Source organism: Homo sapiens, chromosome 4 (genome assembly GCF_000001405.40).
Source record: "Homo sapiens chromosome 4, GRCh38.p14 Primary Assembly".
In the NCBI taxonomy this organism is placed as follows: Eukaryota; Metazoa; Chordata; class Mammalia; order Primates; family Hominidae; genus Homo; species Homo sapiens.
This window is the reverse complement of record NC_000004.12, coordinates 175900031-175923276: the sequence shown is the minus strand read 5'-3', so window position 1 is coordinate 175923276 and position 23246 is coordinate 175900031. Positions and strand designations below refer to the sequence as shown.

General features: G+C 36.8%; 1 protein-coding gene and 1 long non-coding RNA gene across 5 annotated transcripts in view, besides 1 other annotated feature; both read left to right on the top strand.

Annotated features, from left to right (window-relative positions):
* Window positions 1-21351, top strand: part of LOC107984113 (uncharacterized) — a 59731-nt gene extending 38380 nt beyond the window's left edge. The window contains exon 4 of the long non-coding RNA XR_001741924.3: window positions 14613-21351. This is a non-coding gene — a long non-coding RNA (uncharacterized LOC107984113). The remainder of the gene's footprint in view (window positions 1-14612) is intronic.
* The window catches only part of GPM6A (glycoprotein M6A), a 369457-nt gene that overhangs the window by 79117 nt on the left and 267094 nt on the right, over window positions 1-23246 (top strand). The window lies entirely within an intron of this gene.
* Window positions 16884-17444: an enhancer, noted in NCBI's record as "OCT4-NANOG hESC enhancer chr4:176826984-176827544 (GRCh37/hg19 assembly coordinates)". NCBI's record gives its function as "activates a minimal SCP1, AML or CMV promoter by ChIP-STARR-seq in naive H9 embryonic stem cells {active_cell/tissue: H9 hESC(naive)}" and the evidence as "EXISTENCE:reporter gene assay evidence [ECO:0000049][PMID:30033119]".

Sequence of the window (23246 nt, the reverse complement as noted above, 5' to 3'; positions counted from 1 at the left end):
GTTGTTAATCTTTTCACTTGTATGTTGTGTATATATATATATATATATATATATATATATAAATCATGTTATGAAATGTCAGGGACTATAAAGATTGTCTTTGACAAAGTTTGTAATAACTGTTTAACCTATACCTTAGCAAAGATTCAGCATTTATATTTTCTAGAAAAAGATTTATAAATCAATTTTTATATGAATAATATAGTATCTACATATGAAGTCATGTTATTATGATATCCTAGACAAATAACAAGCGTGGATTATATTTTAGTTACCAGTACAGATAAAAATGAGCTACAAGATGTACTGATTAAATTATAGGGCAATTGTAGTGGGCAATGATGTGTTTCTGTTTATAACTGCTAATACAGTATCTCTTTTCATCAGTTAATGAAATGAAGAAAAGATAGGAAAAGAAAAGTTGAAAGCTTTTTCATATTCAATTAAATTTTATGTTAGGTAGATTTAAAATTACCAGTAGCTAGAGATTTTTGCTTTAGAGTTTGTCAGAGTTTTATAATGTAAGTGTTACTGTAAGCCCCAAATAAACTCATCTTTTTCCAGACTTTGACTTCATTCCACTAGAAGGGAAATCAAATGAGCTAGTTTCATCTATGTAGAGATGTTCAAATTGGGCTTCTTGAATTGCTTTCTTCCTTTTATTTCATTATACCACCTTGGAAAAGTTTTCATTTCTCCAATATCAGATTTCTTCTTTTTGGTGTGAGTTTCAGAGCAGAGGTAAGTCTGGAAGCCTTTGGGAACCTTTCCAGTTTGGCTTCTATCTACATACAAGAATAAGGTAATTTGTACTTCCTGACTAATACCTTAGGATCTTTGAGGGCTCTGAGATAATTATGGAGCTGGACTAATATCAGGCTGAAGAGTCCAAGGGAACTTTTAGCATAAAGATGTGGAGGAGGTAAAAATCTATTAATGTGGACTGATTGCTGACATCAGGATACTCAAGAAGACCATTGTGGGACTTATAGGACATTTGGGTATCATTATGTGTTAACAGAAATTCCCTAAACACTGCTTTAGCTTGGAGAGGAAGCTAACATGAATTGAGGGTCTAACATGTGTCAGGTATTTCACATTACCTTTTCTCTTACAATCTTCACATTAACCCTTCACATTAATCCTGATGTATTAGAAGCTCCATTTTACATAAGCATATTTTACCCCACATTATGAATCATGTAAGTATTAGGTAGGCAAGCAGGATTTAAGCTCATCTCTCTTGGTCTTCAAGGCTTGTGTTCAGTTACCACACAAACTGGGTCTTCTATTACTCCCTGAGAAGCAGATTACCCTCCCATTCTAGTTCTAGTGACCTGGATTATTGCCCAAGAGAAATGAAGTACTGAAGAAGGACAGCCATCCTATATAGACTTCCTGTACCAGCTGTATAAGGCTAATATAATTTGTGTTGCCATTTTTGTTAGCTGTTTTTGGAAATATGGTACACTCCAATAAGTAAATGTAAAATTCCACTCCAAAAACAAAGGCAAGAAAGCTAGTGCAGCAAACAAGGTGATGGCTCATGGTCAGGATTTGAATACTTTCTGTGGTGTAAAATACATCTCACTCTATTCTTGCATACAAAACTGGATTTTCAAAATGCATTAAATTTACTGAATAAACAAAATGAAGGCATAATTCTATTTTTTCCTAGGAATTATTTGATGCCTTTGCTATTTCATCTTATTTAGCAGGTTATGATTATGTAATCTTATTTATATTTCATTTTTTTTCTTTGGGAATGATGGTCCATGATTTTTTTTTGGCAGGATCATGCGTGGATTTACTTAAAGACTCTGATTAAAATACTGAAATTCTCTATCCATATATGAACAAAATTATGTTTCCACTGTCTTTTTCAGTGCTCTAATGAATTGGAAAAAGTGCATACAGAGTGTATAAGAAGCAAAGCCAAATTTGACATTTAAGTGAATTTGAGATTAAGTGATTGAGATGGAATATTATTTTTTGAGATTAGATAATTGAAGATTGGAGATGATTTTTTTTAAATAGATCACACTGAATATTAAAAAGGAAGATTCTGAATCTTTTGTTATTGAAAGTTATTAATAATTAAGTTGACACTATAAAGATTTCAGTGTTAAAATTAAGTTGACATTATAAAGATTTCAGTGTGAAATTCCAAGTAATGTGAAATATCACATTAAACATATAAACAGATTGGTTAAAGATAATCCTAATTTTCTTCATGATGGAAATTATTTTCTTATTTATAAATATACTACTACTATTGGAGTTATGTTTCCTCATCTATTGTAGAAGCATATGCTTTGACAATGTTCTGATGCAAGAACATATTTATAATTGATCACACATGTCAATATAATTCAATAAAGAGCAATAATATTTCAGAGACTTTTAGAGTATATTCAAAGCATTTTTTTTTTTTTTGAGACAGATTCTCGCTCTGTTGCCCAGGCTGGAGTGCAGTGGCACAAGTGAGCCACCACCGCCTCCCGGGTTCAAGTGATTCTCCTGCCTCAGCCGCCTGAGTAGCTAGGATTACAGGCACGCACCACCGCACCTGGCTAGTTTTTTGCATTTTTAGTAAAGACGGGGTTTCATCATGTTGCCCAGGCTAGTCTCGAACTCCTGAGCTCAGGCAATCCACCTGCCTCGGCCTCCCAAAGTGCTAGTATTACAGGCATAAGCCACCACGCCCAGCCGTATAATTCTTATGAACAGTAGTTTAAGTATTGTTTCTGTGAACATAGTTTGAACTCAGTAAGTGACTAAATAACCAAATTATATCATCATCTAGATTAACACTACCAGTGATATTAGTTACTAACATTCTTTGAGTGCTTGCTGTATGCATGGAACAGTTCTCAGTTCTTTATTTTTTTGTGTCATTTTATAAGACCATTTTAAAAAGTAATTAACCCTTTTATACTGGTAAGAGAATTAAGCACAAGAGAGGATAAGTGACTTGTTTGGGCTAACACAACTGGTAGCAGAGGTGGGATCAATTAAACATTATGTCCTAAATTCCTGCCAGACATGTAGGATCCCAGTGGCAATAATAATATCAGTAGTAATTAATACTGATTCTATTGTATGTTGCCTTCCTGGAAAGGACAATTTCCCCTTCTGTTCACAAGCATAGAAACACACATACAGACATAAACATACTCACATGCACAATTGATGGCGTAAGCCAAGCTCCATCACCTTTAGAGGTTACTTTCCTTTTATGACCAAAGATGGCCAGACATGAGAAGATAGAAGGAAGAGTCCACTAGAGTAAGATTCTCTTTGCTTCACAACGTCCTTGATGGAAGTCTAGACAGGAGATAATGATTTGAACCATCTTTCACATAGATGGTGCTTTTTAATCTGAAACACATGAGGAAATTTGGGGGGCTACATAGCTATCCATTACAGGGGAGTCCTGAGGCAGCAGTAAGATTTCAGACTGAATTGGATCCCTACTTGGTTATAGTTAGAGCTCCTTGTCCATAACTTGGTCAATAACTGTACCCAGCTTCATCACAGCTTGGGAAATGTGACCATTTAGGAGTGTGTCCAGTTGTAAATGGGAATTCTGTTAATGTGAGAGAGAAGGAGAGAATGGATGTTTGAAAGGAAATTAGCAGTCATGGGCTCACCTATTGACTACTTCTGTTTATTAAAGATGAAAGCTTTGGCCTAATTTTTCTTTATTCACCCTTGCATACTGGTAGTTACAAGCCTGCTGGAAAGTCATTGGCAAACTTCACTGATGGTTTTAATTAAGTAAGGGTAAGTTTTGTTGGTCCAAAAATAAAAAGACCCTCTATTTTTAAGTTAGAAATGTTTATGTAAAAGTGTCAAAAGCTCTTTAAGCTTCTTCTGGCCCATTAATCTTTTTTGGCCGGGGATCTTGCTGGATTAAAAAGGTGAGATCCTGGATTTAAGCAGGTTATGGTGGAGTGAGACCCACAAGTCACCTTTTATGATACACAGAATTTTTAGAAGTACCTCAAAAAAACTCATTATATTTTACTAGACTGCCAGGGACCTCATTTGTGCCAGAAAAGTCATGAGAAGGGGAAAAAAAAGAAAAATCATGAGAAGGGTTGAGTTCTTTTTATAAGTGATGGGCAGCAGTCCTTAATGAGAAGATATTTTAATTAGCTATACAGTTAAATTAAGTGTGCTGAAAGGATACCCTATCTTATCGTAATGATAAAAGGCAATTTTCCCACATTCCCTAGTTTTATATCAATTTATTAGTGAGTTCAGTTTTGTTTCAAAATATAAGACTATAAAACAAGTATATAAAAATCTTTCTCCATATTATTTAAATATATTTTATAAGATAATAAGACAAAAACCAGTAGCTCATAAAAAGTAAAGGATATAAGCAGACAAATCATAAAAGAATGCTGTATAGATGTGATGATAATTCCTTCTTATTAATAACTAGAGACATAAGATAAAACATGTGATATGCTGTTGTTTCACAAATTGTTAAAAGAAATTTAAATATACATTTCTGCATTTCAGACACCCTACTGGAAACACATGTTTTTGACAAAAAGAATTAAGAAACATGATATGCAGTTTTCTTAGGAAACTCCAGCAAACTAAATTAACAGCTTTTCAGCCAAAGATCTTAGACTAAGGAAATGCTATCTTTAGTTCCAAGCATTCTATGGTCTTGCTAAACTGTCTTCCACAGGAAAATGGGAAACAATAATTTAAGATATTTTCCAGAATTCATTTGTAGCTTTTTTTTTTTGTTGTTAAGGACAGGAACTGTATCTGCACCTTCTTGATGAATACTAATTTTTCTTAAAACCTATTGCGATGTTATTTTGTGTGCCTCATTTCTTTTCCCTACTTAAAGATTTTTCTTTTCCAATTCTATTTTTTCTCCTAAAGCCTCTTCCACATGTAACTCAACAGCTGCTGCCCGCTTTATCAGCTCCATTACCTAAGCAAAACTTTACATATCCTTAAAATCTGACAAATTCCTAGCATATATTTTTGTAGTTTCTCCAATGTTTTTTAAAAACATTCATAGCTTGCACATATGGTTATCATCAAGAGTGTCTGAAATATGTCTTCATTATAAAGTTTCTTTTTTTTTCATTTTTCTGTCCATGTTCAATCTCAGGTTTTTAAGTTATGCGTGTAAAATATGCTCTCTATAGAAATTTTCATTGTGGGAATCAAGATTTATATAATATGTTAGGAAAAGAATTATGGTAATTTACTCTTTTATCTTGATGGGATTTATCACTAAAGCAGCTATTTCAGTTACTATTTAAAATGAGATAGACTTTTTAAAAACTGTTTTAAATTTTACTAAATAGGGAACCGGGAAAGAAGGATTCAGTTATTTAAAAATTATTATAATAGTATATAATCTCTTACAAATTACACATTGACTTATAAGGCTACTTAACATTGTTGTCTCTCTAGTGTTTTCTTTAGAAAGCTTTTTTTCTCCTTAAGTTGAGATTTCTTAAGCCATTTGGTATTATTTTTCCATTGTCTTTTTATGTGTTTTTTGCACCGACTCATTCCTCCCACATACCAGATCTCACGCATTTTAACATGTCCATCCTGGATTATTTTGACAACCCCCTCCCCATTTGGTGAATGTTGTATCAAGGAGGATGAATGAAGAGTAATCATCTGTTAGGTGGATTTTTAATAGCCGCCCACACTACTATGGTAACGTACATGGACAGATGTATAATCCAGTCAGCCTGTTTCTGCCTTCTTTGTTCTTGTTAGGTCATATGTTACCTTTTTTTGATAGGAATTCTTTTGCTATCTCAAGCCCTTCGTTTCATTGTTTTGCTTATTTGTTGCTAATATTCCTTTTCTTGCAACATTAAATCAGCAGCAGCATCTGTAGCAGGGTCCTTCAATGCAGGCAAGGGGCAGTGCTTGGGGAAGAAGATGGCTCTTATAAGGAATGTTAAAATGGGGAGAGCATCTGAAATTTCAGGATGCTTAAAGATTAAAAAAAAACAAAACAAAACTGTGATTGTGTGGAGGGAGGAGGGTAAGAAGCTGCCTTGGGACCCATTCGCTTGCTTTACCAAGGTGATGCCTTCTTGCTACCCCCACCCGCTGGAGGAAAGGTAGCAAGGCCAGTGACCTGCTCCAGCCTCCCTGTTCAATGGACTTCTATAGACGGATGATATTTGCCAGGACTTAATCGCATCAGCAGGATCCTTTTAACAGGATATCCTTAGCTAAAAGAATGCTTATAGTAAATCAACCCTGGGTCTATGGATTTAAGAGGTAGGAGAATGCCCATAAACAGCAAAACACTTTGGGGGTATAAAAAGATGTTTCATAACTTAAAAATTCTCTTTTATGTGAATAATAATCTGCAGAACCTCTCCCGCACCTCACCTGTTATTCTTGGCCAGGAAAACTGTGTTTTTAATGTGGAAGGAGGGGCTTGGGGAGTGTCATGGGATCTAGACTTGGTTACCTGAAACGCTTGACTGCTCCTATCCTTGAAAATGTTAGTAAAGCTTGAAACTATGTGAGACCTCTGATTGATTGCATCTGATTCTATAATTAGAAAGTGTGTGTTAGCTCAGATTATTATATTTCCCCCCATAATGTATACACTCTTCAGGCCAGCCTCCTGGGTTATTTTCTCTCACAGGGATGCCCATGGTGTGATACAGAATGAAGGAAATAAAATATAAATTTAGCACTAGTCTCAAGAACTCTGATTCATATGATCTACAGTTAGCATTTTTTAACAAGTTCTCATAACTTCCCTCTGAAACAGTAGGTACAGAAAAAAAAGAAAAACCAAAATTCTAAACTACTGAAAAGCAAAACTTCACATTTTGCTAAAATATGGGATAATTTTGATTTAGCTCCAAAGCTGATGGAATTAAGTAGCTTGTATACGTTAGATCCTTTAATCCACATTTGCCCTTGGCTAAGAGAGTCAGGGGATGCACTAAACAGAAAGGTAGACTTTTGTATTTGTATAGCATGGATGGTATTCTTAAACCCAAGCTCTCCGCTGTATATTGCAACTCACAGAAAACAAATAGGGAAGAAGTGGCATGCGGGAAAGGGAGGGACAGATGTGGTTTCTATCGGGAACCCTGGGGGCCTGCATAGCGGGGACCTGTGAAGACTGTTGTTTTGCATGTGTCTACTTTATATGGTGAGACTATCAGAGAACTTGGCTGTGGAGATAGGAGAATAACACACTTTGATCCAATAAAAACAGGCTGAGTGAGAGAGAATGGTGAGCATGACACATCAGCCTTCCCTTCAGCATTCAATCTGAGAAGGGAGATGGATGGATGACCCAGTCCCCGTGTGCACGCAAGTAGCAGAGGATGACAAATGTAAGGTCCACATGGCTACATTCACATTTGGAGATGCACAAACAACAAAGCAAAACAACAAACCACCAAATAACCAAAGCAACTACCAAGGACAACACAAAAAGACTAACATATCACCAGACAGCGTTGTCTGGTTTCTCATACCCTTTTTTTCCCCATACCCTGAGTATTGCCAGTGAGGTGGATGAAAAATAATATTGTTGTACTGATTTGCATTTATCAAATTGTGCCTAGCTCCTTATATTTTTGTTGATCATTTTTATTACTTCATCTGTGAAATTGCCTGTTTGTCAGTTTTTCTACAGGGTGATTGGTCTTTTTCTTATTGACTTATAGCACTTTGGGAGGCCAAGGAGCAGATCACCTTGAGGTCAGGAGTTCGAGACCAGCTTGGCCAAGATGATGAAACCCTATCTCCATTAAAAACCCTATCTCTATGTAAAAATACAAAAATTAGCCGCATGTGCTGGTGGGTGCCTGTAATCCCAGATACTCAGGAGGCTGAGGCAGGAGAATTGCTTGAACACGGGAGGCAGAGGTTGCAGTGAGCTGAGATCACACCACTGCACTCCAGCCTGGGTGACAGAGCGAGACTCCATGTCAAAAAAAAAAAAAAAATCCTTTTTAATTAAGGAAGGATAGCCTCCTGTCTGGTATAGATGTTACAAATATTTCTCCATAGTTGATTATTTGCCTTTTGGTTTCAGACAAATATTTTAAATTGTAATATGATTAAATTTGTCAGTATTTTCTTTTTTAAATAACATTTGATTTTCATAACTTGCATTATAAGCTTTCTTTACTCAATACTATTGTGGTTTTATTTTGTGTATTTTTCTCTGTCTTTGGGAAAGAAATAACAGTCAAAAAAGCTTTAGAAGGCCAATTTGGCAATATCTTTCAACATTTAAAATCAATATTAATTAAAATTTGTGTAAAAATATTTATTGAGCATGTGCGCTGTGCCAGTCACTTTTCTAGGTTCTTGATTGTTATTGCTTGGGGTGTGTCTTGTGAAAGGAAAATAAAATGTTGGGGCCGCAAACACTATGGCAAAGGGAAACGTTAAGCTTGAAAACTGAGCCATACAAAAAACTACCTTTCCTTTTGTTCTTAAACAGATAGCTGCAAGATAGAAGGCTACGGATCTCCCCAAGTGGCCCCCCCTCGCTCTGACAATGTAAACTAACTGCTTATCTTCACTGGCACTAGACAAGACAAATGCATATTTGACTTCTTTCTTTACCTTATGTTTACTTTATCTTATGTAAAATGCAGATTTGCAGGCGGACGCGGTGGCTCACGCCTGTAATTCCAGCACTTTGGGAGGCCAAGGCGGGCAGATCACTTGAGATCAGGAGTTCCAGAGCAGCCAGGCCAACATGATGAAACCCTGTCTCTACTCAAAATACAAAAATTAACTGGTCGTGGTGGCATGTGCCGGTAGTCCCAGCTACTCAGGAGGCAGAAGCAGGAGAAATCACTTGAACCCGGGAGGCAGAGGTTGCAGTGAGCCGAGATCACACCACTGCACTCCAGCCTGGGCTATAGAGTGAGACTCTGTCTCAAAAACAAAACAAAACAAAACAAAATGCTGATTTGCTGAGCATGAAACAAATGCATGATTGACTGTTCCTTTACCCCGTCTTTCCACATGCAGCATGTGGATTCAGGATTAAGTGAACACTAATCAAAGCCTCACAAAAATGTGACAACTCACCTCACTACATATCCCTACCCCCCCCACACATTTTTTTTTCCTTTTCTCTTTCCCCTCCTGCCCACTTTTTCCTCCCTTAAATGTGGAAGCCCTAAAAACCCTCTTAGGGAAAATGTGGGGCACAAATCCTATGGTGACTTGTGTCTCTGTGGCTTTTTCCTAGGCAGGCCTTCAACCTTGGCAAAATAATCCTCTAAATTGATTGAGACCTGTCTCAGACACTTCTTTGGTTTACAGTCACGTGGAATTGATGATGTCAATGGTGAGAGGGAAGAGTAAAATATGCTTCATAAACAAGGGTTTTTTATATTCTGTTACCAGGTGGTAGGTATGATGGAGAAAGGAAGAAGAGCAGGTGAAGGAAGTTGGTTGGAGAATTCCATGCTATCCGGGTGGGTTTACAATCCTAAATATAGTGGTCAGAGTAGGCCTCATTGAGAAAGTGACGTTTTGGCAAAGGCTTGAAGGAGATGAAGGGATGGGGCAGGGCAAGAGCACCAAGCAAATACAACAGCTCGTGCAAGAATCTTGAGGCAGGAACAGGCCTGGTCTGTTCTAGGAGAAGCAAATTCGCTGATGTGGCCGGATTGAATAGGTGGATGAGTAGTGGGAGATGGGGCTGATGATGTAAGGGTATCAAATCACTCAGCACTTTGGGCTAGTGCAAGGATTGGACTTTCATTCTGAATGAAATGGGAACCTTTGCAGGGTTGTGAGCAAAGGCATGATCAATCTGTTTACATCTTAAAGGATTACCAGCTACTACTTTGGGAAAGGGAGCAAGTTACTGAACAGAAGTACATGACCTTATGTGTATAACACAGTGTCTTTACATAGATGCATTCTTGTTCCATATATAAGTATTAAAACACATGAATATATACGCATAGACACAATTCTTGGAAGACATAGTGGGTGATTCTGTTTGTTTACAAATCATCTTTTTATAGATGTGAATTTTCCTGTAGTAAACACTTGTCTTGAAGGTTCAGATTGTTATTATAAAGCATATGGTCAACTTGAAATGACACCAGAACAATGCATAAAAAGAAATTCAGCAATATATTTTGCACTTATTTGCAATGACATATGTCTATAATCTTACTCATGCAGAAGAGTTAGTAAATTTTCTACAGAAAATGCTAGGAGTTTGTTTCCATTAGAACCAGTTTGCCATATACGTATGTATATATAAAGTAAATTTTAGGGAAAAATGCAATTAAAAAATTATATGGTACTTTAGTAAGGAGAGAAAAGTGTGTTTGCTCTCATTTTATTGATAATGAACATGATAATGATACCTAACATTTATTTATCACCTACAAGGTGACAGGTATTATGCTCTTGCCTTATTTGCATTACCTCATTTAACTCTCACCATCATTCTAGGGTGTAGGTGCAGTATCCACTATCATTGTGAATATGAGGAGATAAGGCTGAGACAGTTGATGTGAATTTCCAGGTAGACAATATGGTCTTTTGAAATCAAACTGGTACTGACACCTTTATTCTTTTTTGTTGTTGTTGTATTTGAGATGGAGTCTCACTCTGTCTCCCAGGCTAGAGTGCAATGGTGTGATCTTGGCTTACTGCAACCTCTGCCTCCCAAGTTCAAGCCATTCTCCTGCCTCAGACTCCCAAGTAGCTGGGACTACAGGCATGCACCACCACATCCAGCTAATTTTTGTATTTTTAGTAGAGACAGTGTTTCACCACGTTGGCCTGGCTGGTCTCGAACTCCTGACCTCAGGTGATCCACCTGCCTCAACCTCCCAAAGTGCTGGGATTACAGGTATGAGCCACCATGCCCAGCAAGACCTTTATGCTTGAACCATGAGTTGATACTCAGAAGTGGTATATAAATCAAATCTTACTACTTTACATAAAAGAGTATTTCTCATCTTCCTTGTATATTGAATACAAATATTTAAACATGTTTAAAAATTGGCTTTGAGGAACTTTTTTGTCCTTATCAAATTAAAAACTTTACTTATTCCCCAAAATTTCATATAAAGTTAATAAAAAATAAACTCAATTTGTTTACTTGTTTATTTTTATTTCTTTTTCCTACTCCTGGCTGGGAGCATTTCCAAACTTCTCTCTCTTTTCTGTATTCCTTTGCTGTGTGAACTTCCCTGTTTCTGCATGGTATCATCTACTTGTTTAGCTTTCAAAATCTGTATAGATATAGCCACAGCTTAGCATAAAACATCAGTTTGTTGTGTTAAAATGACCTCAAATTATGCCTGTCCTGAATAGAATTCATCATCTTTGTCACTCCGTTTCCTGCCCTTCTTGATTTGCTTATTTTTGTCATTTTTTTGACATCTAAACTTGAAAGGGGAGAAAAGTTTACTCACTCTTCTTTCATTTCCTGCAATCACTCACCTTCAGATGTTTGGTCTCTCTTACATATTCCCACTTTTGTCACCATCTTCGTACATATAATCCTAGTTTGGGTTATTACATTATCTGTAAGAACCTTCTAATTAATTTCCCTGCTGTCAGAATATCTCCTGATTTTCAATACAACCAGTTCTTAACTGAACTTATGTTTTCTTAAAGAGTAGTTTTCTTGTGTCACTCATCACTTTTCACCCTAACTACTTTATTGTTCCTCCGTCAATAGAGTTAAAAATCACTTTATTTGGGATACATGGCTTATTATGTCAATGATCTATGCCAATACTCCTATTAAACCTTTTACACAGAGTGCTAAAATGGAAGTTTGAGCTGAAAAGCAGGGGATAATAGCTAACATATTCCAAGGTGTTACTGGGCCTTAAGTAGTATTTTCAAACTAGGGGATGAAAAACCTCTTGCCAATGTTTAGGACATGAAACGTATTATATTTTTGAGATGGAGAGAGGAGTTTTGAGGATTTTTTTAAGTGTATATTTTGTATTATGAGTCTCATTCTCGTCACCCCTTCATCTGCCCCCAAAACTGGTAATAAACCTTTTGTCCAAGTCAAAAGAGAAGGATCCTAACGTCAGCTGAAAAGCTTAATATATGTCCCTATCATTTGGAGGGCTGGATAGACTGGTGTCTAAGACACCTGAGAAATCTAAGTGATTTCTGGCCTAGGCAGCCCAAGATTTGGGAGGTTATTTCACCACCCTGGTTTATCGGGGCATAGGATGTGTAAGCATTTGCAATGGACTGTGTATAAGAGTGAGCCAGCAAGGGTCATAATACATGTTATTTAAGGCTGTCTGAGGGAGAGGTTGGCATGCCAAGACCTCGGGCCAAACCCCATTGCCTCTTTGTAAATTTTGGAGCACAGCCATGCTCATTCATTTATGGATTGCATATGGCTGCTTCGGGCTATAGGAGTAGAGTAGTTGCTACAGAGACCATCTGGCCAATAAAGCCTAAAATATTTATTATCTGGCCTTGTACAGAAAAAGTTGTTGAACTCCGGTTTAGAGAGGTAGGCAGATTTCAGCAGAAAAAGTGTGGAATTATTGTTTGATTTCTTAGGACAGAGAAAGGAGAAAGCAAAATATCTAGAATAGAGAAGCAATCATCCTGATTATGGGAGGTCATGTAGAAGGGTGCTAAAGACAGAAATTTCAGAAGCCTAGTTAATATGAAAAGAGCACACCTGCTTTATATATATTCCATGTCCTGTGGTTATAACACCAGCTCATCATAGTCTCAGTCAAACAGTGCTTGTTGGGCCCCTTTCTTCTTCCTTTCCATTCACCAGCCCAGTAAGGCTGAGAGAGTGAATTATGTACCCGACTAAGAAGAGGAGTAACAGCAGGAGGGGACGAAGAAGATAAGCTGGGAGCACCTGCACCCCTGCCCAGCTTCAAAGCAGGTTCAAAGCTTTTATTATTACATGAGTTTCATCATTTTTATTATTAAAAGGAGATAGTGTTTTGCAACTTGGAGACTTTGAAATTTATGTAGCCTAAGAATAGCCAGAGAAGACATATGGTAGAAACACATTTTTTCAAGGGTCAGGGAAACCAGTGGTGTGCTGTAGCAGAATTCCACTGGCTTGAGAGAGATGGTTGTTAAATATTCAGGAACACTGCGATCCTGTGATTAGCACATCTGTAGCTTGAAATTGGCCACCATGGACATATTTATGCCACAGAAACTGATAAATGCTGCCAATCAGAACTGTTTCCCCCCAGAAAGTCAGGGTCAGCTTACTAGCACACCACTGGACCATAACATGCCCCAGGGACTACTCTGAAACTGTAGTGACAGTGGAAAATAGGTGGGCTTTTTATTATACTCCATGAGCTCTTCATGTTTAATACAAGGGTAGTACTTGGTTTCTCTTTTTTTAATTTATATTTTGATGTCATTCTCACTGTACTGTAAATACACTTATGATTATTTCTCATTAAATATGTTGTTTAACCTGTTTTGTTCAAAGAAATGTTTATCTCTCTCTGTTTGCCCTATGCAAATCCTACCAACTTTTGTGATTCACAATGGACTGTACCTTTTTCTTGAATCTTTTCCAGATTACTGTAGCTTAAATTGAATTCTCGTTATTGCTCTTCCTTTAGTACTTGTGTTTCATTGTGTAAAACCATAAGTAATATGCCACATGGTGTTAAAATGTTTTTGTCCTCTGTGTTTTCACCCTTCACCTATATTGTATGCTGATGGAAGGTAGGAATCACGGCTTCTTTCATTCTTCTATCATGTCAGTTCCATGTTCATAGTTACCATTAAGGAATTTATTTATAAACAAATATATTAATAACAGTTTACTCATGAATAAGTATGGTAAACTTACTCTATATTTACACTGGCATTTCTCTACCTTCCTAGATTATCGGGATGATTAAATCTGATCATACATGTGAAATTTTGAAAAGTATGACTACTTATCCAAATGCGCCAGTTGGAGAAAGGATCTGAAAACATTTGGACTGTCTTAGCAACCGCTGATATGTGTTTGACTAAAGCTAAATTTGCCTTTTTCAGTCAAGGCGCCTCTTTTCTCTGTTATCACATAATCATTGATGACTACTAGCTAATTGGTGATATTTTCTGACCTATCTTTCCCGATAATAAAAGAACTTGTATTAACAGCATTTTTTTTCTTTCAGTTACTATTTCTGAGTTATAGTAAGACCTGATTAAGTTGGTTATGAGCTAGTTGCCCCCCCCCCGCCCTTTTTTTTTTGTCTGCCTCTAGTGGCAAAATGCAGTGATCAGGATAACACAGGGAGCATCCTCGTTCAAGAGCGATGGGAAAACAGAAAATCATTGTGTGCTTTTACGGATAGGGTATATAAGAGAACAAATCAGTAAAGCTAGCTCACTCTCATTTTCTAGTAATTATTCTTGCAAAGACAAAGCCCAATACAATATGAGAAAAACAATCTTTTCTTATATGGTTCATAACAAATTTATTTGAATTGTTTTCACACAGTCTATTTTTAGTTGATGTGAAATAAAGCCTCAGTGATAGTTCTACATAAAAATAGCTTTTAAATTTTTGTTGAAATATCCTTCCTTTGTTGAGATCTTCTTCTTTATCCTTGTAGGAATATAAAGATTCTATTTGCTGGAACCAGCTAAGGCAACTTTCCTATAAAGGCCCCTTTGATGATACAAACTTCTTCTTCCTCAAAGTTTATCCCTAGATCAGGTATCTTTTCTTTTAAACTGTCTTTTTTTTTAACTTTGGAAAACTTGAGGATTTTCAGTCTATGTTTGATAATTTTTGTTTATGTGTTCAAATTAAAGCCAGGGGAATGAGTAACACTAGCCTGTAGAGACTGGTAGGATATTGGCAGTCTTCTAATCAATTTCACTTTGCAGATGAGGATATAGAAGACACAGGGATCTGAAGAATCTAGGCATGTTCAAGGTCAGATAAGTTAGAAATAGACTGCCCCATTCATAGGCATGACATCATTAGTATGTTGGGATTTGTGTATGAGTGGTAATAGGGCATCTGCTGTGGACAAATTATTTAGAATCTCTAGATTGTTTAAAATAGATTGCATTTTAAAAAATTATCACTAGACAAATGGAGACTTGACAGGTTTTCATAAATTACATAGTAATAAGTGATATTATATATAACATGATAACTATGGCCAAATAGTTATTCGTTAATATATTCTTTTTTCTACATTTACTGTTTTTCTCTGCTCACATTCAGTCTTTACATTCACTTATTCCCTGCTTCCTGTTAACCCTAAAAATCCTTTACTATTCAACAGTGTAGGAGACGAAGAATATATTTCCCTTACCCATCGTAGGTTTATGGCTGAGGCCCCTATAACAAAAGACAGAATAAGGAGGAAAAAGCATACGAACTTATTTAATACACCTTTTATGTGACATGGGAGCCTTCATAAGTAAATGAAGACCCAAAGAAATAGATAAACATGTTTATCTTTTATGCTAGGTTTGATGAAGAAGTAAATAGTCATAAAGATTGGATATAAAGTGTGATCTAATAGTAATAAACCAGAAGAAACATAGCAAGCCTGTTGGTTCAGTTTTCTTTCTTTGCCCCTGTGCCTTCAGATAAGAGGATATTCCTTTCTCACCGGAGGGTTTTATGACCTGTTTCAGGACAGAAGGGCAAGAGAAGGTGAGAGTGACTTTCCTGCTTCTGCTGTTTTCGCAAATGCCAAGGTGTCATATTTGGGGGTAGCATGTCCTCAACTCCTATCCACAGTTTTGATTTTTGATGCAGAGGCTGGGACTGACTGTGCATGAATATTGAATAGACTTAGGATTCGTGGAACATCAGAGGACACAGATGTAGATGCAAGCTCATTTGAACTATGTCTAGAAGGTCTGCTACTTCAAACAGATGCGGTTTTGAGACCAGCAATTTAATGAGAGACAAGGAGAGTCTAGGAATAAAGTGGATTTAGTTGGGATTGAGATTGGAAAAGAGCACAATTAAAACTAGAGGACTCTCATGGGAACAAGTAGTCCTCTTGGGTGTATGCATGTGTACGTGAATCTGATTGGAGGTGGAAGAATGGCATGTAGGAGAGAAAAACCAGTGTTCTGAGGCAGCAGGTGTTCTGTAAGACAGACCAGGAAGAGGTAGTAAGGCAGCCAGAAAGCTACCATGGTACACCAGAGAAGCCAAATTATTCTTGAGGTACCCACTGAGCTTGTCAGCTGCAATGGCTAAGAGGTAAGTTGTACTTATGAGTTTTAAGGAGAAATGCTAGCTCTTTTAACTGGAATGGCCACAGGTCATTTGTTCTTGTGGCAGATGGCTGGTCTGCTGTGACTCTGAAGGTAATTTTACCTATTAACAGAATCTGAAAGACAAAACTTGCTTTCAGTGATGTCATAAATGCTCTTCACTTTCATCTATTTCAGTGGCTGATAATGTTCCTTACTTCTGTAGCTGAGATTTCCCAACTTAATTTGGGTTCTCATCAGGGTAGAATTCCATCCAAGTCAATCGCAGCATCTGCACCCACAGCTCTGAGAAGGGAAAGATGTGCTTGGTGGTGGCCCCAAGTTTGCAGTATCGGATTGGACTCATTAGAATTACAAGGAAATGAAATAAAGAAAGGTAAAACTGGATTTCAAAGAGTCTAAGTGTGGCTGCTGTCGTGCGGAGGTGGTGACATGCAGACATGCAAGCTTGGAAGCTATGCAAGAAACAGAGCTGTGTGTCTGAATATCACCATGGTTACGGTCTATAAAAAATAATGAGGAGAGAAAAATAAGAGCACTGGAGTTTGAAGGCTTGTTTTCTAAAATTGGTTTTTATCTATTTGTCTGATAAAAATGAAAAGATCCTGTGGTTTGCATTATCTTGACTAAATCAAAAGCCAAAACCAAATTATAAATTTATCCTTAAGTGCTCACTGCTAAACATTCAAGAATGTTTGTGCTGTCTTTCCCTCCCCTTGACATCATGAATCTTAGGTTTAATGAATCATTGTGAGATATCAAGTCATCCTCTAATCTGATGCTGAGCTACAATCAAAATTCAGTGATGACTTTCTATCTTTCACCCACTACTTCTTAGGCTTGTTGTCACTGATGCAGTGACATCGTTCTTGAATTTCAATGCTTCTTGCATCCAGCTGTGGCCATTGATTCACTCATTGAATTTGATGGTGTTAAGCACAATAAGAAAGATGACTTAATGGGCCTTAAATGTTCACTCTTATTGAAACCATTCTGCAATTTTCATTACCAAGAGAAGTCCCTGCTGCAATGTTATTCTGTTGACTTCCCAAATGCTTCTGGTAAGCAAAGATACAGGGAAATGCGGTCCACACCAGCTGTTTCAATCTAATTGAGAAAGAAACTAAGTGCTGATATTTAGTAAAAGTCTACAAAAATGCTCTTTTTTTCTTAATGACGAAAGGACAAAAGGCATTGCATCTTCACAATTAAAGGAAAGCATGAACATCGGCGGTTTTCCAAAATTAGCATTCTTAGACAATATGAAGACCCGTATTTTTAGATGATTCCTTAATATTAGAAAATATATACTGAAAGGGATCAGAGTATGCCACCCCAAAATATAGCACTTTGGCATAAGGATTATTTTGAGCCGAAGGCAACTGAGAAACAGTAAACATTGAAAAGACTTCTACCCTCCTGTATTTGGCTAAAATCAGGTCATAAATTTCCCTTCGTGAAGGTGCCCCACCTTCTCCCTTCTCTTGTGCCAGGAAAGGGAGAATGGTTTGTAATCACCAGAGATGATCTCCAGGGGTGTCCAATCTTTTGGCTTCCCTGGGCCACAGTGGAAGAAGAAGAATTGTCTTGGGCCACACATAAAATACACTAACATTAACACTAACAATAGCTGATGAGAAAAAAAAAATCACAAAAAAACTTAGAACCTTTTAAGAAAGTTTATGAATTTGTGTTGGGCTGCATTCAAAGCCATTCTGGGCCACATGTAGCCCACAGGCAGTGGATTGGACAAGCTTGACCTAGGCTCAGCCCAGAGACAGCAACTGAGAGGAATCTGAATAACAGACCTTACTAAACAACCCTTATCTTTCATTAGTTTCTCCTACAGATTTACCTTCCCACAATTAACCACCCTTAAAAGCCTAATCCTGTTTTCCTTCATCTTGTCACTTCCACAGTTTGTTGCTCTATGTTAAAATGCTGTGTATCCCTGGGTTTAACTGCTTTTTTGGGTCTTTGCTTTTTTTCTATGAAGGACTTCATATGCATATGTGATAAATGATTTTTCCTGTTAATCTCCCTTTTGTAGGTTTAACTTGCAGGGCACCAGCCACTGAACTTACGAGGGTAGAGGAAAAAATTTCCCTTTCTTACAATATCCGTCTGGTTTAAGGTGAACTAAGAAATGGCAAATTTTAAAATTGATGTACCTTCTGAAGATGCTGAAAATAACTTCTTTGGTTACTTTTGATGTATCTTACATGAGTAATTCAGGAAATATTTAATAACAACCAGCACTAAGCCCAAGATTAGACAAAAGCACTCAGGAATTATGCAATTAGTTATTTATTTTTTCCATAAATTGTAGGAGCTTTGTGGTCAGGAGAGGCCATTATCTTTTTCAAGATACTATACCTTCACGTTCAGATATAATAAACCAAAAAATCTCCAAACGTTCATCCTTTCAGGGTTACCAGTGTTGAGTGCCAAGTGGTGGTAGTCTACTTTTGACTGTTCTGGAGGTCTTATTTTTTTAGAAAAATCTCAAAAAATAGAATGTTTACTTTAAATGTGTGCATTTTATATGTGTTTATGAACATGTATGTGTGTGTATATATATGTGTGTGTATATGTATACATATGTATGTAGACACATGTGTACATGTATCTGTAAAATATCACTCAAAGTCAAATATCTTTTATGTTAGCTCAAGTCTAAGAATGCTTGACACTTTACTGAAAGCAGATATTTTAAATGAAATTTGACTTTTGTCTTCTTTATAATTTCTAATAATATCGGTTGCCTGTCATAAACTGAAAAACACATTTGCTATCTTAGGCAGAATAATAAATATGGGTTGTAAATAGTGTCTTTCATGGATAATTAAACTTTTTTTATTAAGAATGATAATAGAGTTTACTGTAAATGTGGCTATCTTCCCATTACTTATATTTTTGAATGTCATTGGAAACATTGAAAAAAATAGTGTGCTACTCCCTAACTTTACTTCTTTTACTCCATCCACATAGAATATAGTAGAAATCTCTTTCAAGTTTTGTTTTCTATTATTTTGAGAAAAATATTCTCTTCACATGTATTTCCCCAGAAGGACATTCTCTGACATAACTATAGTACAATGATCCCATTTTGGCGTGTGATATTGATACTATATATCACGTTATCCATGGTCCATATTCGCTTTGGCTGGCTGTCCCAATTTTTTCCTTGGTTCCTCACTCACTCCAGGACCCTCCACTGGACTTGTTATCATGGTTCTCTAGATTACTTCAATCTGAAAGAGTTTCTCAACCATTGTTTTTAATCTTGAGATTTAAAAAAATTATAGGACACTTATTTTATGGAATGTCCCTCAGTGTGGGTTTGTTTGCTGATTCCTCAAGATTAAATTCCAGTTTTGCTTTTTCTGCAGGAATACCACAGGAACACATGGTGCTATTCCCAGTGCATCACATCAGGAGGCACGTTGTTGTTTGTCCTAAAATTGCAGGTGTTAATGTTGATTGGTTGATTAAAGCTTCTCCAGTGTGAAGTTATTCCTTTTCCCCTTTGTAATTAGTAAGTAGTTTGTGGGGAGATACTTTGAGATGATATATAAATTTTTTTCTCATCAAATATTCACCTAATTAGCTTTAGCTTCAAGTAATTCAATGATATTTTCTTACTTCATCATTCCCTCTATATTTACTAGTATACATTCCCCTTTAAGGGAGACTTTTTCTATTTATTTATCTATTAATTTACTCATTGATTCTTTTTTTTTCAATGAATTACAATCTATTAGAGTTATTTATTTTGATAGTCAAATGACATGAGTTTGGCCAATGAGAGCCTCCTGTGTCTTTTGGATAGGATTCCATCATTATTCGAAAACTTTTGTCACTCTCTGTTGCAACAAGAGATTCCAGCTTATCATTATTTCCCTTCATCAACCCCAGAATCAGTCATTTCTCTAAGGAGCCGTGGTTTCTTTTAGTGAAGATTAATATTCAGAAACCAAGATCTGGGTTATAGATGTACTTACTGTTATTAGCGTGTTGTTGCTTCTCAGCTCTCTCTAGAAAACATATGTACATATTTAGATATCTTTATTTCTATATTTATTTATCATAGATTAGCTGTTATTCTAGAGCTTTATAAAAATGGAATCATAACGGAAGCTGTGTCGTTCATCTGGGGTAATAGCTGAGTTTCGTTTTCCCATTGCCACGGAAAACTAGGGCGCAGACACACCAGCGTGACGTTAAGAGCAGAAGTTTAATAGGTGAAAGAAAGAGAAGAGCTCTCTCTGCTGCAGAGAGAGGGGTCCCGGAGAAAAATGGGTTGCTGGTTCCTTCTCGAAATGCACGGGGTTTTATAGATGAGCTTGAGGAGGCGGTGTCTGATTTACATAGGGCAAACAAGATTGGTCGGACCAGGTGCGCCATTTGTATAGCGAGGAAGAATCTGGCCACCCCACCCAAATCTTTTATTTTGCAGATGGTTCTCTACCTGTCCGATGCCATGTTGCCTATTCCTTACTGTACATATGGTGACAAAGAAAGGAAAGATGGAGCCTGCATGTTGAACATGTCTGGCCCCCAGGTAGCCTTTTCCTATTGGCACAGCTGCTGACATTCATCCATGCAAGCTTCTAACTTGCTTATTTATGTCTGCAGCTTAATTTTTCAGGCTGCTCTTTTTTAGGAAATAAATGATTTGGAGGCTGCTTTTTATTAAAAGGGAAACCTTACCAATGAATCTCTTACCATCACTAACTACCTAAATAATTTCTTTTTAGCTCCCATATCATAACCATGTATTCTTTTTGTTCAGCTTTTTTCATTCAGCATAATGGTTATGAAAGGCATCCAGGTTGTTCCCCATATCAGTAATTTGTTCTTTTTTATTCCAGAGTAGCATCTTGTATGAGAATACTTCAAATTTTTATCCATCCTTTTGCTGATGGACTTTTGGATTGTTTCTAGTTTTAGACTACTACAAAAAAAGGTGCTACACACATTCTTGTCCACATCTTTTTGTTGCCATTTATTTTCATTTCTATTGGATAAAAATCTAAAAGTGGAGTTATTGGGTTGAGGAATATTTTACCCTTTAATTTAACTTTTTAAGAAAATTATAGGCTGGGCATGGTGGCTCACACCTGTAATCTCAGCACTTTCAGAGGCTGAGGTGGGTGGATCACTTTAGGTCAGGGGTTCAAGACTAGCCTGGCCAACATGGTGAAAGCTCATCTCTACTAAAAAATACAAAAATTAGCTGGGCGTGGTGGCTGGTGCCTGTAATCCCAGCTACTTGGGAGGCTGAGATAGGAGAATTGCTTGAACTGAGGAGGCGGAGGTTGCATTACACCACTGCACTCCAGCCTGGGAGACAGAGTGAGACTTTGTCCAAAAAAAAAAAAAAGGAAAAAAAAAAAAGAAAAAGAAAAAAAGAAAATTATAAAGCTTTTTCTAAAATAGTTATAAATTTACACTCCCACCAAAAAATATATGAGAGTTCTGATAATTCTGTATCCTAGCTAACCTTTGGTGTTTAATTCTTTTTAATGGTAGCTACTCTAATGTTATAATCCTATCTCATTTTATTTTTAATTTTTCTATTTTTAATATTTGTGAGTACATAGTAGGTGTATGTATTTATGGGGTACATGAAATATTTTGATACAGGCATGCAATATAAAATAAGCACATCATGGAGAATGAGGTATTCATCCTCTCGAGCATTTATCCTTTGAGTTACAAACAACTCAATTACATTCTTAAGTTATTTTAAAATATGCAATTAAATTACTATTGACTATAGTTACTCTGTGGTTCTATCAAATACTATGTCTTTTTCATTCTTTCTAATTTTTTTTGTACCTGTTAACCACCCCCACCTCTGCTGCCCCCAACTTCGCCCTCAGCCCCCCACTATCCTTCCCAGCCTCTGGTAACCATTCTCCACTCTCTATGTCCATGAGTTCAATTGTTTTGATTTTTAGATCCCACAGATAGGTAAGGACATATGATATTTGTATTTCTGTGCCTGGCTTATTTCACTTAACATAGTAATCTCCAGCTCTATCCATGCTGTTGCAAATGACTGGATCTCATTCTTTTTTATGGCTGAATAGTACTCCATTGTGTATCTGTACCACATTTTCTTTATCCATTCATCTGTTGATGGACATGTAGGTTGCTTCCAAATCTTAGCTATTGTAAACAGTGCTTCAACAAACATAGGAGTGCAGCTATCTCTTTGATATACTGATTTCCTTTATTTGGGGTATCTACCAAGCAGTGGGATTGTTGGATCATATGGCAGCTCTATTTTTAGGTTTCTGAGGAAGCTCTTAATGGTTTTCTATAGTGGTTGTACTAGTGTATATTCCCACCAACAGTGTACAAGGGCTCCCTTTTCTCCACATCCTTGCCAGCATTTGTTATTGCCTATCTTTTGGATAAAAGCCATTTTAACTGGGGTGAGATGATATCTCATTGCAGTTTTGATTTGCATTTCTCTGATGATCAATGATGTTGAGCACTTTTTCATATGCTTTTTTTTTTGCCATTTGTATGTCTTCTTTTGAGATGGGTTTGTTCATATTTTTTGCCCATTTTTTGACCGGATTATTAGATTTTCTCCTATAGAGCTTCTTATATATTCTGGCTTTTTCCTTTCCTTTCCTTTCCTTTCTTTTCCTTTCCTTTCTTTTCCTTTCCTTTCCTTTCCTTTCCTTTCCTTTCCTTTCCTTTCCTTCTTTTCTTTTCTTCTCTCTTTTTTTTTTTTTAAGACAGAGTCTTGCTCTTGTCACCCAGACTGGAGTGCAGTGGTGCGATCTTGGCTCACTGCAACCTCCGCCTCTTGGGTTCAAGAGATTCTTCTGCCTCAGCTTCCCAAGTAGCTGGGATTACAGGTGCCCACCACCACGCCTGACTAACTTTTTTGTATTTTTAGTAGAGACAGGGTTTCACCAGGCTGATCTTGAACTCCTGATCTCAGGTGATCCGCCTGCCTCGGCCTCCCAACGTGC